This window comes from Homo sapiens, chromosome 17 (genome assembly GCF_000001405.40).
Source record: "Homo sapiens chromosome 17, GRCh38.p14 Primary Assembly".
NCBI classification, from domain to species: domain Eukaryota; kingdom Metazoa; phylum Chordata; class Mammalia; order Primates; family Hominidae; genus Homo; species Homo sapiens.
The window spans coordinates 35,771,807-35,788,564 of NC_000017.11; the positions used below are offsets into that span (position 1 = coordinate 35,771,807).

The window sequence follows — 16,758 nt, forward strand, 5'->3', positions numbered from 1 at the left end:
TACTTCTAATAGGAATGAGCAGAGGTAGTTGGGCTGGATCAGTGATTTTCAAGCTTTTAGTGTGCCCCAGATGGAGCTTATTAGATGTGCAGGTGCCAGGGTACCACCCCTAACAATTCCCCTTCCACAGCGGCAGGTGACCCTGACACAGGAGTCAGAAAACTGCACTATGATAAAGTTTGCCTAGAAGCTTGTCGAGGGTCCCTCCAGCTTTGCCTTCTTGGACCCCAGGCCAACTGTGACTGGCAAAGATGGGGGTGCTAGACTAAAAGGAGATCCTCCTGGGGGCATGGAAAGTCAGCCGCATGTAGGAGGAATACATGCCTATTTTGAATATGTCTCCAGCTGTTTCAAGCATTGTTCACTCTATTCAACTCTCACTGGGAGACGGATGGGCAGGTTTGGGAGAGAAGACCACTATTCAAAAAGACAAAGTATCTGTCCCAAATCAGAGGGCTGCTTGGGGATCCTGATGTCCTTACTCCCAGTGCAGTGCTGTCTTAACTAGGTATGGATAGAACCATGTCAGGTAGATCACATGGATGAAGTCAGTTACAAATAAGTGCATGTGTGCACTACATGTGGATTCTTGCAAAGCCTAGATTCCTCCTGGTCCTAACCCAGGTCTCAGCAGTAGGGCCTGGATGTGGGCTTTGCTGTAGGTGGGCTTGACTGAAAGCAGGAGGGTGCGAGGGAGGTGGGGGCTCAAGTTCCCAGGCCATACAAGGGCTTAAGTCCCCAGCTTGAAGGGGTCTGATTAGGTTTCCTTTCTTCATTAGGAGGGGAAATGTGCAAACAGCCTATATTCAGGTTCTGAAGGCTAGCGTTAGGCAGAAGGGGAAAAGAGCGGTTTAAACTGCAGCCAGAGTCTTCAGGTTGGGGACAAACAGAACTATCTGTGGCGTAGGTATATGAAGCACTTCCCTGTCAGGGCTGTCGGGAGTAGGGTGCCTCTTGCCCTGTGGCAGCGGCTCTGGTAGTTGGGGGTGGGGGAGCAGTGGTGGGCAGTGGATGTTTTTTAGGGCTCTGGAGTGAACATCCACTCTGGAGAACAAGAGAAGCACAGGCCTGTCTAGAGGCAGAGGATGGATGATGGAACCTCGGGAGATTCTCCCAGAATGCATAATACTCTTGAGAATTTGCAAAGCACTTCCCTTGCAGAGCTTCATCTGACTGTCCCTTCAGACATGTGACACATAATAGGGCAGGGACCACTGTTCCCATTTTAGGATGAGGAGACTGAGGGTTCTCTGCAGGGAGATGTGCCTCAGCCAAGGCCACAGGGAGGGTGAATGCTTCATTGCCACCCCCAAACTGCTTCTCCAAGTTGGGTTCCCCTCCTGCTGTGCGGGAGGGAGGCTTTGTGCCAGCACCTGGGCCATCAAAGGCATTGCCCAGCCCATCGTTGTGGTCCCCTTGGAAGAAGGTGAGCCGGATGTCAGCGGGGCCTGTGGCTGGGGCCTCCCAGAACTCCAGCGCTGAGACGTTGCTCCACAACTGGAAGGCGGCGCGCACGGCGCCCCGAACTGCCGGCTCCGGCAGATGCTCAGGCCAGTTCACCAGGCGGTAGGAGAGGTGCTGCTTGTACCATTTGTTACCTGCCACCCAGAAAGCCCACGTCAGTCACACCTGCTGCAGAGCCCGAGTCTGGTCCCCACAGACCCAGTAGGATGGCGAGGGGTAGGCCCTCCCCCAGCAGCCCCTCGTCTGACGGGGAAGACACAGTTTTTGCCCTGGGCAGCTCCCCCTTTGACTGGGGCGATACTGCCTGGCTGAGGGCAGCCCTCAGACTGAGAGGACTCCCCTTACCCTGGACAGTCCCCAGTACAGTGGCTTGGACTGTGGAGGTCCCAGTGTGTTGGAGGGGAAGCAGCCTCTGCCCAGGAGAAGCCCCCAATCTGAAGAAGTCTGTCTGAACCCTTGGTCTAGGGTCTTATTCTTCCCCACAGCCTGGGCTGAGTCTGAAAACAGTTCTGTGTCTGTTGCTACCAGCAAATCCCAGCCCCTCCCTGCAGTGTCAGAGTGGAGGAGAGGTGGGGCCACAGAGGCCACAGCTGTGACTCCCCCTGCCCCCCACCATCTCTCTTCAGGCCTCACACCCTCCTGCCACCTCTAGACACTTCACTCTGCCCTTTCCAGGGCCTGGGGCCTATGGCCAGCCAACAACCACAAGACTCATTCATTTGAGTTTCTTTCCTGCCCCTCTCCTCCTCGCTTCCTCAGGGACTCTGGAGAGCTCTGAGGTGAAAACAAATAAGAACAAAGCGTGTGTTTTGTCACTGACTGAGAGAAAGTTTTCCATCTCTGCTTTGTTAAGGGTTTCTCTCCCTTTGCCCCAAATTGCAACTCCTCCCTGAGGGCTGAGACTCTGGCCTCTTACCCCAGCCCCCGTCAACTGAGTCTGGGCCCAACTGCAGCTCAGCGTGCACCCGGCAGCAGCATGGCCGGAAGGGCCAGATCCCGAGTTTCTTGTGGGCTATTTCTGAGCCCTGCAAACTCAGGGGCTGGGATTGTAACCTCAAGTGGAAGACTCGCGGCTTGGAGGCAGGACTCTTGGGCCAAGGATGTGGTAACTGAGACCTGAGACCCCAGGACAAGGGGCCTGCCCAGGGTCCCGGAATGAGTAAGTAGCTGAGGCAGGCCCTGACACCTAATCCAGGGCTCTTCCATTATTCCACATAGACAGGCAGGCACATTTGCCAGGACGCCAGGCTTATAAATCTGCCCAAACATCATTCCTGCCGGTCAAAGCATGAACTAAGATTCTCCAGATGTAAGGGAGGGTCTTGGAGAGCAGAGGAGCTGGACTCTCTTCTCCTCACCAATGCAAGTGGGGGAGGGGTACATCCCTTCTCCCACCCCTGAGCCAAGCTCCATTCAAGGCAATGCCGCCTCCCTGGGCCTGTTTGGCCTGGCAGCCACCCAACCTCTGCCTCCCAGCCAGTGACCAACCCTTAACGAGGAGAGAGGGAATGACTCTAAGGAAGGGAGGGAGACAAAGAAGGCAGAGGGAAGACCTGGGGTCCAGAGGTGCGGCTGAGGGTTTGTGATGTACCAGTCATGCTTCTGCTGGGCACACTGTGAGTCTTCAATGGGCGCTGGGCTCTTTCACGCCCTTGCTGTGGGGGACGGTCTCCCAGGCTCTTTCTTTCCCCTCACAAACCTCTAATCCATTAGCATAGTGTGAGATGGCTCCTTCTGCCTCTTTGCAGCTAGTGGGGTCCCTCACTTCACAGGCAGAAGAGGGGGTGGCGGGCAGTTTTCTCATTCTAGGCCGCCAGTGAAGGTGACAGGTCTCAGAATAAAATCCTGTAGGAAACTCTGAGTATGTGCATGTGTGTGTTTGGGGGAAGAATAGGGAGGATGAATAGGAATGGGAATTGAGAGAAAACGACTGTTTTCCTGAGAGGACCAGGGGAGGGGGTGTCGCTGGTGTGCCTGCCAGGAAGAAAGGACCTGGCTGGGGGCCAGCAGTCTGAGCCCTTGCCCCTGTCTCCCTCCAGATTTGCTCCCATGGAGAAAGCTAGCCGCTTCAGGCCCTGACCCAAACTCCTGGCCAGGGAGGGCTGGTTTTTGTGGTGACCCCCAGGCCCTAGCAGCACCTGGCATTGTACTCCCTGACACCCTTGCTCCAAAGTTCAAAAAGGAAGGGGGAAGGAAAAAGTATGGGAAGGGGGAGGAGAACTAAAAGCTTTGCCTGGGCAGAACCCTGGAGTTCCGACTCCCAGCAGGGAACTGACACTGTGGAAAGAACATGGGTTAGAATCCCAGTACCTCTACTTGCAAACTTACATAACAAATTATGGAATCTCTCCAAGCCTGTTTCCCTATGTGCAAAATGGGGTTGATAAGACTTTTCCCATGGTAAGATGTGAGGCTTAAATGAGACAGCAATGTGGAGCTGCTGGGCGTGTAGTGCATACTCAATAAATATACATTCCCCTCTTCCTTCCTTTTCCACCCCGGATACACCCTGGTGCCCCCAACCTCCGCCAGCTTAGTGAAGGAACAGGAAGCCTGCAGGCAGGCAGGAGGAGCAGGTACCTGCAATGAGGTTGCCAGATAAGTTTCTTTTTTCTTTTTTTGAGACGGAGTCTTGCTCTGTCACCCAGGCTGGAGTGCAGTGGTGCCATCCGGGCTCACTGCAAGCTCTGCCTCCCCGGGTTCACACCATTCTCCTGCCTCAGCCTCCCAAGTAGCTGGGACTACAGGCACCCCCCACCACGCCTGGCTAATTTTTTGTACTTTTAGTAGAGATGGGGTTTCACCGTGTTAGCCAGGATGGTCTCGATCTCCTGACCTCATGATCTGCCCGCCTCGTCCTCCCAAAGTGCTGGGATTACAGGTGTGAGCCACCGCGCCCAGGCTTTTTCTTTTTTTTTTGAGACAGAGTCTCACTCTGTCACCCAGGCTAGAGTGCAGTGGCGCGATTTTGGCTCACTGCAACCTCTACCTCCCGGGTTCAAGGAATTCTCCTGCCTCAGTCTCCCGAGTATCTGGGATTACAGGTGCGTGCCACCACACCAGGCTAATTACTTTTTGTATTTTTAGTAGAGACGGGGTTTTATCATGTTGGCCAGGCTGGTCTCAAACTCCTGACCTCAGGTGATCCTCCCGCCTCAGCCTCCCAAATCGCTGGGATTAAAGATGTGAGCCACTGTGCCCAGCTGCCAGATAAGTTTCTTTTTTTAACTTTAAAAAACTATCTGTTGTTCATCTGAAATTCAAATTTAACTGGGCATCCTATATTTTATGTGGCAACTGAGTAATACTATCCTCTATCAAAAAGAGATGCTCTGGCTGGGCACGGTGGCTTGCGCCTGTAATCCCAGCACTTTGAGAGGCCGAGGTGGGCGATCACCTAAGGTCAGGAGCTTGAGACCAGCCCGGACAACATGGTGAAACCCGTTTCTACTAAAAATACAAAAAAAAATTACCCTGGCATGGTGGCGTGCACCTGTAATCCTAGCTATTCAGGAGGCTGGGGCAGAAGAATTGCTTGAACCCAAGAGGTGGAGGTTGCAGTCACCTGAGATTGCGCCATTGCACTCCAGCATGAGTGACAGAGCAAGGCTCCATCTCAAAAAAAAAAGAAAGAGAGAGAGAGAGATGCTCGAAATTGTATAGTGACAGATGAACTCTATTAGATCCTTCCTTTGGGGCATGAGAAGGTGAGATACAGCCAGAAGGAAGCAGCCCCGGAGCTCAGGTCAAAGTACAGCTGCTGAACTGTTTCTGGGGCTGCCCCACTTTCCACTGCATTCTCACAACAAGCCCCTTCCACCTGGTAATCAAGGACCATCTCTCCTTTGCAACCTGGAAGGGCCTATGTCTCGGATGAAGGAACGGAGCCTCAGTGAGAAAAGTGACCTGGCCCAGGCCACACAGCTGAGACTTGAACCCAGGGCCTCTGGCTCCAGGGATGCTGCTCTCTGTTCTACCAGTGCCTCTTGAACTCGTAGCTCTCTGCTCTTCTACTTCACTCTTCCTCTCCATTGCCCAGAAACACGGTGGGACACAGAACATGTTGACACCAAGGGCATCCTGACTCCGGAGCCGGACCCCATTGCTGACTCCTTGCTTTACCAGGAAAGCAAGCAGTCAGTACTGAGGACCCAGAGTGGCTGGGCATATAGGTGAAGCAGAATTGGTTTGGCAAACACCTGGAAACAGCCACCCTCCAACAGTGAAGGGGAACTGCCCACAATTTCCTTACAGGTTAGCTAAGAAATGAGAACAAACTATGTGCCTTCTGTCCTGTTCCTAATGAATACTATCAGTAAAAGTAGTCAACACAAATTAAAAGTGGCAATGGCCCAAAGTGTTCACAGTAAAATTAATGATAGATGAAAACCTGGTTAAAAACCCCCATCTTGTTAGAAATCTTGAAAGCTGCAAAAATTGAGCAGAGAAAATTAGACTTAGTTAAAACAATCAGGTTGTTAATATTATGCACGGTAGGCCAGGTGCGGTGGCTCACGCCTACAATCCCAGCCCTTTGGGAGGCCAAGGCGGGTTCGAGACCAGCCTGGCCAACATGGCAAAACCCTGTCTCTACTAAAAATACAGAAATTAGCTGGGCGTGGTGGCATGTGCCTGTAGTCCCAGCTACTTGTGAGGCTGAGGCAGGAGAATCGCTTGAACCCAGGAGGCGGAGGTTGCAGTGAGCTGAGATTGCGCCACTGACTCCAGCCTGTGTGATGGAACAAGACTCTGTCTTTAAAAAAAATTATGCATAGTGAAACTTGTTATTTGTGAAAAACTGACAAAAGAATCAAATCTTCATAAATCTTAGATCTGTACCATTTAACCCCTGGAATATTAAATTTGGCTAAAAGAAGGAGGAGAAGAAAAGAAAGAAACAAAATAAAGTTACAAGAGGAAAATCATGACAGCAGAAACTGTAATGTGTAAACTGTGCTATGATGAAATGTTCAGAAGAGGCAAATCCATTGAGACAGAAGTGGATTAGCGGTTGCCAGAGGCTAGGGGAGGGGGAGAAGGGGGAATGACTGCTAATGGGCATGGGGTTTCTTTTCAGGGTGATGAAATGTTCTGGAATTAGATTGTGGTAATGGTTGCACAATTCCGCAAATATCCTAAAAACCACTGAATTGTACACTTTAAATGGGTAAATTGTATGGGATGTGAACTACATCTCAATAAAGTGGTTAAAAATATGCTATGGACAAAGTAAATCAATAGATCACACATTTGTTTAATAACTTATGAAAAAGAATGAATTCTGATGAAAATAACTTCAGTAAATATAAATGAAAAATGTTAGCAACAGTTTATCTGCCCTGCATTGAAAATTTATCAAGGAATTACATGGGTTTTGTGTTTGATCTGGAAAAACACTTGTACAATGAAAATTCATCAATGTAGGTGTCATTCTGAATTAAATGTCTGTATTCACAATCATGGTCCTCAAGCCAAGAGGTCCTATTCACCCACTCCTCCCGTGCCCTAGGGAAGAGAGGTTACTGACAAAGTCCAGTCCCAGGCTCAGCTGTTTTCCTAGCCATTGGCTTCAAGACATTGGGAAATCTTGGCCTAGCCGGATTTTAACAGTGCTCACCTTGCTTTGCAAAGCGTTTCTTACGCCTCATTTTGGTCCGGTGTCTAGCAAACAAGTCACTGATCCTCTCAGCCCAGGCCGCATAACTGTTGGTATCTGTAACCCCGCAGCGGGGACGAGTCATCTGGCGCAGGGTGGCGCGGTCCAACACGCCGCTGACAGGTAGCTGGGACACCCACTGAAACGCTCTGTCAGGAGGAAAGGACCGCAAGGGGAGGGTGAGTGGTAAGGGTGAGGGCAGGGAAGTCTGCCTCCCTGGGGTGTAGCCAGCCAGGCTTCCAGGAGGAGGGAGGAAATGGTCAGAGCTTGGCATCCTAGCACCCCTACCCCAAGTCCTCCACATCCCTCCACCCTACCTGATGGCATCGCTGAATCGAGTGGAGGTGGGAGCTTTGGGGACCTGTTCATTGAGGTATCCGTACTTCTCTAGGAATGCCTGCGGGAGAGAGGAATATCTGCTTTTTCCATAGCATCCTTTCCCCTCCCTTGGTCCCCAAGGGCCCAGGGCACATACATCCTGCCCAGTCTCACCTCTTGTCTTTTGCCCAAGAGGGTCTATAAGCTATAGCAGAATGAGTTCTGGGATTAAAGTCAAAAGGACCTGGACTCAATTCCAGGTCACCACTGACTAGCTGATGATCTCAGGCAAGTCACTCAATATTTCTGAACCTTTGCTTCCTTATGCCTAAAACTGGGCCAGTAGTACCTACCCATATCTTACGGCATCAGTAGGAATCTAGCAGCACATGCTAGGCAGTACAGTAACAGGCTCTGGAGTCAGATCCACCTAGGTTTGAATTCCAACTAGTAAGATACTTCTCTAAACCACAGTTTTCTCAACTGTAAAGTGGGCTTAATACTAGTACTTACCTTACAGGGGTTTTTTTGTGTGTGTGAGGACTAATCGCAAGAGTGTTTATAAAGCACTTAGCACAGTGCCTATTACATAGGAGGGACTCCATACAGAGTGGCTATTATAATATGTGTTATGCGTTACGTGCATATACACTATTCATATGCATCCTGAAACAACTACATTCTCTAGAATATCTTTTGGTATTGATTAGGAGCTTATCAGGTGCTAGCTCTGCCATGGCTGGGTTGTGAATTGTCTAATTCTGGATTTTTAAAAAAACAGTTATCTTCCCCACCGATGTAGATATATTTATTTATTTATTTATTTTATTTATTTTTTTCTGAGATGGAGTTTTGCTCTTGTTGCCCAGGCTGGAGTGCAATGGTACAATCTCAGCTCACTGCAACCTCCGCCTCCTGGGTTCAAGCAATTCTCCTGCCTCAGCCTTCCAAGTAGCTGGGATTACAGGCATGCACCACCACGCCTGGGTAATTTCTTGTATTTAGTAGAGATGGGGTTTCACCATGTTGGCTAGGCTAGTCTTGAACTCCTGACCTCAGGCGGTCCACCCACCTCAGCCTCCCAAAGTGCTGGGATTACAGGCGTAAGCCACCGTGCCCAGCCCAAATGTAGCTATATTAAAGGTCCTAGAACAACAAATGCACTTACCACTAACCTTATAATTGATATAAAAACTTGACTCTCTAAAAGATGTATTTTTTGAATTAGAAAGCTTCTTTTATTCATTCGTTAATTAATGCAATGTACTAGGTACCCTGCTAGGTACAATAAAAAATAAGACATCCCTAAACCAGGCACAGTGGCTCACGCCTGTAATCCCAGCACCTTGAGAGGCCGAGGTGGGCACATCACCTGAGGTCAGGAGTTCGAGACCAGCCTGGCCAACATGGCGAAACCTCATCTCTACTAAAAACACAAAAATTAGCTGGGCGTGGTGGTGGGTACCTGTTGTCCCAACTACTCTGGAGGCTGAGGCATGAGAATCACTTGAACCTGGGAGGCAGAGGTTGTAGTGAGCCGAGATCACGCAGCTGCACTCCAGCCTGGGCGACAGAGCAAGACCCTGTCTCGAAAAGAAAAAAAAAAAAAAGTAAATAAAGGACATAAATTGGTACTATGAAGAAAAGAAACCAAGTGATATGACTGAGAATAATTTAAAGAAACTTCACATCGGAAGGTCAGGAAGGAGTTGAGTCTCTGAGGAGCTGATACGTAATCTGAGTCCTAAAGAATGAGAAGCTTGCCATGCAATGAGGTGGGAAAGGGTGTTCCAGACAGAGGAAACAGCAAATCCAAAAGCCCTAGGCTAAGAATGACAGTGACATGTTTAAGGAACAGAAGGAAGGCTGGAGCACAGCAAGTGTGAAGAAACAGAGCGTGAGATGAAGTCAGAGAGAGAGGCAGGGCTGTCAGCCAGGATAAGAAGTGTAGGTTTGTTTTAGTCCTGCTGATGGATTAATTGGTGGGGAATGAAAGACAGAAATCCAGGATGCTCCTAAGTTTTTGGCTTGGAAGGTGATGCTATTTAATGTATGAGGAAGCCTGCAGGAGGTACAGATGGGGGTGCGTGGGTTTAAGATTACCTTGGAGATTTCAAAGTGGCACTGGCTGTATGATCCTAGAGCTCAAAGCAGCAGCCTGAATATTTCAGCATGTAGGTGATATAAAGCTGTGGACCAGGACGAGCTCCTCTGGGGAAATTGGTATAATTGAGAACATCTCAGGGTCCAGGTACCTTTGACTCTGCCTACCCTAACACACCTGGAAGCTGTTCTCTCAGTAATCAAGTTATTTGAGGCCAGTGGAGAGAAAAGTGTGACTATTATTCTCACCTATCACCAGTTCTACCCTTTGGGCAGACGATGCACTTGGCTCCCTGATTGCCCTTCTCACTGATAAAGTTACATAAATGTCACCTTGGATAAAAAAGAATGTTGCCTCAGCTGCATAATTCTTCTACAAGGAGAATTCTTCTACCTACATAGCCTCAATTTTTACCCCTCCTTGTTGTGTTACCTATACAGAAATAATTTTCTGTCTTCTTCTCTTACCCCTATTTTCTTTGCTGTATTTCTTTTTTCTTTTCTTTTCCTTTTTTATGTTTTATGTTTTAGAGATGGGGGTCTCACTATGTTGCCCTGGCTGGAGTGCAGTGGCTATTCACTGGCATGATCATTGCTCACCACAGCCTCAAACTCCTGGACTCAGGTGACCCTCCTATAGCCTCTTGAATAGCTAGGACTACAGGTGCTGCATGCCACCTTGCCTACCATGTTGTATTTCTCTCTTTTTTTTTTTTTTTTTTGAGACAGAGTCTCGCTCTGTCGCCCAGGCTGGTGTACAGTGGCGTGATCTTGGCTCACTGCAAGCTTCATCTCCTGGGTTCATGCCACTCTCCTGCCTCAGCCTCCCGAGTAACTGGGACTACAGGTGCCCACCACCACACCCAGCTAATTTTGTTTTTGTATTTTTAGTACAGACGGGGTTTCACCATGTTAGCCAGGATGGTCTCAATCTCCTGACCTCATGATCCGCCCGCCTCAGCCTACCAAAGTGCTGGGATTACAGGCGTGAGCCACCGCGCCCAGCCACCATGCTGTATTTCTTAACTCAAAATAATTCCAATCATAGCTGCTGTCTCAAGGAAAATGCACAAGTTGGGAATGAAGCTAGATACTAAGACCAGCAAACCCCTAAATCTTTGCAAGTATCCAGCTTCCCCTTGTGGATTTAATTCACATTCATTTTCAGCAACCTCCACATCCTCTTCTCAATAAAGTAACTTTTCATAGACTCCTCATTCTACGTAACTTTCCTAGTCCATTTCATTGTTTTTCTGCATTAATTCATTAGTATTTCAGAACTATTGTTTCCTTTTTTCCCTTTGCAAATGTACACTATTTTTGGATGCATAATGGATTGAAAGTGTTCTGGTGGCTTAATTTGGGAAGCTATTTCCTGCTCAAAATCGTGTGGCATCACGGTATAGCCACCAGGTTTGGGAATGAAAATCTATTCCCAACCCTGACTCTGCCAGATGGCTGGGGACAAATTATTTTTTTTTTTAATTTTTATTTTTTGAGACGGAGTCTCGCTCTGTCACCCAGGCTGGAGTGCAGTGGCGCCATCTCAGCTCACTGCAAGCTCTGCCTCCAGGGTTCACGCCATTCTCCTGCCTCAGCCTCCCGAGTAGCTGGGACTACAGGCACCTGCCACGATGCCCGGCTAATTTTTTGTATTTTTAGTAGAGACAGGGTTTCACCGTGTTACCCAGGATGGTCTTGATCTCCTGACCTTGTGATCCCCCCGCCTCAGCCTCCCAAAGTGCTGGGACTACAGGCGTGAGCCACCACATCCAGCCAGCTGGGGACAAATTATTTAATCTCTCTAAGCCCCTCTTTCTTTATCCACAAAGTGAGAATAAGTTCAATTTATTCTTGATCTTATTCAGCGTTCTCAGAAGGACTAAATAAAAGAATGCACATTTAGCATAGTGCCTGGTACAAAGTAAATACTCAATAAACAATTGATCTGGTTGATTTACCTTAGAGGGAACGTTAACAACAGACTTTTGGAATGCAATCCATCTGTAAAAAGGGAACTGCTTTGAACATGGCAGTTACACCTCTGTTCTCAATTCAGGTGCTTCTGTCTCAGACTTGCCTGACCTCAGCTGGATGCCTGGTTCTCTTCCTTGTCCCCTCCCTTTCCTTTGGGGAGGATGGACAGAGGACTTTCTAAAGGTAGCCAGGGAATTAATGTCTCCTTAGAGGCAGTTTTGCTAGGTGAGTGACTTGGGAGAGACCAGGTCACAGGTCGGCATGGCTGGCACTCCCTTGTGCCTCTCTCCACAAACACACCCAGCCCTTATCAGGGAGTTGGCTCCGGTTCTGGAACTCTGAAGCCTTGGACAGAGTGGGAGGGAGGGGAAATTAACTGGCAGCGTCTCTTGTTTCCTGGCTGGGCTGCTGTGCCTAGTACTCTGGCAGGCAAGACGGGGTGGAGGGCAGGATGGGGGTTGGGGGTGAGGGCCTTTTTCAGGGGTCCCTCAGAGGGGAAGTCCTGGGCCTTTCTTCCTAACTCGCCTCTGGGACCCTGTAGGTAGCAAGGCAGAGTTAAAATCTCAGTAAGCAGAATGAGCATGTGCCCGGGACACGAGCCAAGCAGAGCCACTGAAAGAATGAGAAAAAGAAATTTTAAGAATTTGACATTTTGTATTTCTATAAAAGCACTGAAGTGGCTGTGCGTAGTCATGCCTGTAATACCAGCACTTTGGGAGGCCGAGGCAGGTGGATCACTTGAGGGCAGGAGTTCAAGGCCAGCCTGGCTAACACGGTGAAACCCCGTCTCTACTAAAAACACAAAAAATTAGCTAGGCATGGTGGCCAGTGCCTGTAATCTCAGCTACTCGGGAGGCTGAGGCAGGAGAATCGCTGGAACCCGGGAGGTGGAGGTTGCAGTGAGCCCAGATCACAACACTGCACTCCAGCCTGGGCAACAAGAGCAAGACTCCATTTCCAAAAAAAAAAAAAGCACTGAAGTATTATAACAGGGATTATCAGGATTTATGGGCTCCCTTATACTTTTATGCTTAACATGTGTATATTCAAAAAAATTTAAAACACATACAGGAAGGGGCTCCTTAATGCTGTCAGGGCTGGGTGCTCTCACATTCTGTGGAGTGGAGGCAGATCCAACTTCCCGGGTGAGGAGGTGGTGGGGTTGAAACTCCCTCTGCTCCTGGAGGTGTCCCTAACCCTCTTCTGTGAGGCATTTTTCATGCCTCAGTTTCCTCCTGCAAAGGTAAGAGAAATGGTCTACTCTGCACAGTAGAAGGAGCAGGGGTGTGGGGTCAGGGTGGAGGAGTGGCAGCATGACAAAGGGATCCCAGGAGAAGACACAAAACTGGGAGGTGGAGCTCCAGTTCTTACCCCAGCTTGACCACAAACCCTCTTGGGGGCCATTTTCCTTCTAGGCTTCCATTGTCCTGGGGGCTTGTTCAATGGTTCTCTTAAGGACTCTCTGAGTTCTACCTGGCACCATTCCTGCCCCACTTCAAGGAGGCAGAGTCTAGACCACTCCTCCTGGCCTTGAAGTTCAAGGACCAGGTTTTCTCTCTTCTCTATTTTCCACCCGTCCTCTCTCTTAGGGAGCCCAAGGCTTGAGCTGAATGGAGAGGAAGCTGGAAGGCTGTGCCCCTTAGGTGACTCACCCTACTCTGGCCTAAAAGCTTGTGCCAACATGCCTTACCCCCTTGGTTAGGGCTGGGACCACTTTCCTGGGGAGTCACTTCTGAAAGTCCCTGGGAGTGGCTGTGGAGTCTGGGTAAAATGGAACTAGTTCTCCTGGGACCCAGCCAGCTTGGTGGAATCACACAGTGCTAGGGATTCTAGGCCTGCATCAGTCCTGACTTGTCCTGGGAGGGTGCATATAGCCTAGCCTATTTAGTGCCTGAGGGAAGGGAAATTTTGGCCATTTCTGCGCAGGGCAGGACCAGTGATGAGGTGCAGCAAAATGAACCCAAGGCCTGAGTCAGGAAGTCTGCATCATTGAACTGGCAGGGCAAGGGCACTGGACTGAGAGTCTTGAGTTTTATTCCTGGTACTATGGCTAACTTGTATGTCCTTAGGTAAGTCCTGTGCCTCTCTGAGCTTCAGTTTCCTCTTCTATAAAATTAGGAGGTTGGATTATTATTATTATTGAGACAGAGTCTCACTCTGTCACCCAGGCTGGAGTGCAGTGGCGAGATCTCAGTTCACTACAAGCTCCGCCTCCCGAGTTCACACCATTCTCCTGCCTCAACCTCCCGAGTAGCTGGGACTACAGGCGCCCACCACCATGCCCGGCTAATTTTTTGCATTTTTAGTAGAGATGGGGTTTCACCGTTTCAGGCAGCATGGTCTCGATCTCTTGACCTCGTGATCCGCCCACCTCGGCCTCCCAAAGTGCTGGGATTACAGGCTTGAGCCACCGCGCCCAGCCAGGAGATTAGATTATTAGAGCTCTAATATATATTCCAGCTCTATCCGTTATTCTATCCCTGCTTCTGCAACTGACTAGCTGTGTAAGCTAAGACAAAGTTACTTAACCTTTCTGTGCCCCAATGTATAAAATGGGAGAAAGAATACTGTTTTACCTTTCTCGCAGGAGCATCATCAACATCTAAGAAGATGGTCTGGGAAAGCTTTATGACAGTTGCCCCATTAACAATGTTATTTTTACCTCTATGTTCATGGAGCTTTATTGCTGGAAGGGACATTTGGTAGGTGAGCGTGTAGTACTCACCTTCTTGTTTTTTTTTTTTTTTTGACACGGAGTTTCGCTTCTTGTTGCCCAAGCTGGAGTGCAATGGCACGATCTCAGCTCACTGCAACCTCTGCCTCCTGGGTTCAAGTGATTCTCTTGCCTCAGCCTCTCGAGTAGCTGGGATTACAGGCGTGCGCCACTACGCCTGGGTAATTTTTTGTATTTTTAGTAGAAACGGGGTTTCACCATGTTAGCCAGGCTGGTCTCAAACTCCTGACCTCAGGTGATCTGCCCACCTTGGCCTCCCAAAGTGCTGAGATTACAGGCGTGAGCCACCATGCCCAGCCAGGACTCACCTTCTTAGACATCCTCCATATCACAGAATTTCAGCAGCAGAAATGAAATTAAGAATTTAAAAATTGCCAAATGCATGCAGAAACTGTCACTTTACCTATGATATACTCCATCTCATGTTACATTTTATTATTATTTTAGTTCCCATAGTGACTATTTGAGATTGTGCTTATCATTCAAGTGTATCTTTGGCATTATTAGCCAAGTCAAGATGCAAAGGATGGCAAGGCATAGTGGCTCACGTCTGCAATCCTAGCACTTTGGAAGGCTGGGGCAGGAAGATTTCTTGAGGCCAGGATTTCGAGACCAGCCTCATAGTGAGATCCTGTCTCTACAAAAAAAAAAAAAAAAGATGAATGATAGCTGGTATTCTGCCTTGATGTGTTCTACATATGAAAATATTTTCTGGTAGTCAGGAGCACAATAAGCCCAGGCAACTGTAGAGCTTTTTAAAGATATCACACCTTCTTTGAATCTCACAATGATCTTGCAAGAATATAGACAGGACAGGTGTTGCTATTCCCATTTTAAAGATGAGGAAATTAAGTCTCAGGGGAGTGTAGTGTCTTACCAAAGTGATCTAGTGTGTGACAGAACCAGTACTCTAATCTGATCCTCTGACATCTACCCTAGGATGTTTTATTTTACATTTAAACAAGTGACTCAGAGGCTTTAAAACTAAAGGGGCAAGGGCCAAGCTGCTCTCTCTACTGGGGAGCTGACTCTCAATTAAGAAAAAGGTCAAACTGGGGTGTTTCTGGCTGGATTTCTCTTATCTGCTTTACAAGAAAGTTCAGGGTTAGAGCAGAGGAAAGAAGTTGCTCAGGCAGTGGGCTCTGGCTTTCAAATAGGGGCTGGGATCCTGTTTTCCATCACAGCCAGAACAGGTCGTCTAACAGGCCAGAGGCATTCGACAGGACTGAAGCATGTTCCTGCGTAAAGATAAACATCTGCTACCAGAATGCTCTGCTTTCACCCTCTGGCTCCTGGGAGCTAGTGAAGACTTCAGGGCAGTGGGGTTAACTCAGCTCCTTTCCTTTATTTTGGGTAAAGGCTTCCCCTTCCCTCTGCCTGACTCCCTTTCTTTTTCTCCTTCTTTCTTTTGTCCTTCAGTTTTTTGTTTGTTTGTTTGTTTGTTTGTTTTTAGTCAGAGTCTTGTTCTGTTGCCCAGGCTGGAGTGCAGTGGCATGACTTCAGCTCACTGCAATCTCCGCCTCCTGGGCACAAGCGATTCTCCTGCCTCAGTCTCCCGACTATCTGGGATTACAGGCGTACACACCATGCCCGGCTAATTTCGTATTTTTAGTAAAGATGGGGCTTTGCCATGCTGGCCAGGCTGGTCTCAAACTCCTGACCTCAAGTGATCCACCTAACTTGGCCTCCCAAAGTGCTGGGATTACAGGTGTGAGCCACTGCACCCAGCCCCTTTGTCCTTAGTCTTATAGTCACAAAGTTCTGTCTAGGTGTAACCTAGATACCTCTTGCTATAATCCCTGCTCCTTCTTTCTCTCTCTCTCACTCTTTTTTTCTTTCCCTTTTTTTTTTTTTTTTTTTTTTTTGAGATACGGTCTTGCTCGTCGCCCTGGCTGAAATGCAGTGGCATGATCACAGCTCACTACAAACCTTGACTTCCTGGGCTCAAGTGATCCTTGTACCTCAGCCTCCTGAGTAGCTCGGACTACAGGCATGTGCCATCGTGCCTGGCTAATTTTTTAATTTTTGTAGAGATGGGGGTCTCTCTATGTTGCCCAGACTGGTCTCAAACTCCTGGCCTCAAATGATCCTTCTACCTTGGCCTCCCAAAGTGCTGGGATTACAGCCATCATGAGCCATTGTGGCCAGCCCTCCTTTCATTTTCTGCCCTTAAGGAAGATGGAAAACACTAGCCAGTTAGTCTTTATCCAGACCACATCTTGTACTCTTTCTCTAATGCCAAATAACTATACCGTATGGACTCATGGTTCTCACTAGACTTGTGGGACTAAGTTTAGGGCACAAAATAATGCCTTGATCAAGGGTGGGTTTAGGGAGATATTGTCCAACCATGTCTCCCTGCTATTAGGGTCATGCTTCCACTACCCAAATCCTGGTAATTGGCTAGACAAGTGCTTTTCCACCAACTGTGGTCCTCTAGGACCCTTCAGAGCCTCTTCTGCACTTCTATTCACCCTATACCCATGAGTCACTGAGCTAAGTTCTT

General features: G+C 48.6%; 1 protein-coding gene across 15 annotated transcripts in view; it reads right to left on the minus strand.

Annotated features, from left to right (window-relative positions):
- MMP28 (matrix metallopeptidase 28) overlaps nt 1–16,758 on the minus strand; it is a 39,393-nt gene that overhangs the window by 15,558 nt on the left and 7,077 nt on the right. For 9 of the 15 annotated variants that reach the window (NR_111988.2, XM_017025064.2, XM_011525231.2 and 6 more), the window contains exons 2-4: nt 7,438–7,517; nt 7,082–7,269; nt 1,374–1,598 (exon numbers count right to left, since the gene is read on the minus strand). Coding sequence is in view for 14 of the 15 variants with exons in the window: in XM_017025064.2 (XP_016880553.1) it covers nt 1,374–1,598; nt 7,082–7,269; nt 7,438–7,517 (493 nt within the window). In the remaining variant the exon portion in view is untranslated. Of the gene's footprint in view, nt 1–1,373; nt 1,599–6,698; nt 7,270–7,437; nt 7,518–8,903; nt 8,923–12,587; nt 12,754–16,758 lie in introns of those variants that run through there. The other 6 variants (XM_011525226.3, XM_011525227.2, XM_047436731.1 and 3 more) reach the window with 5 other exon arrangements.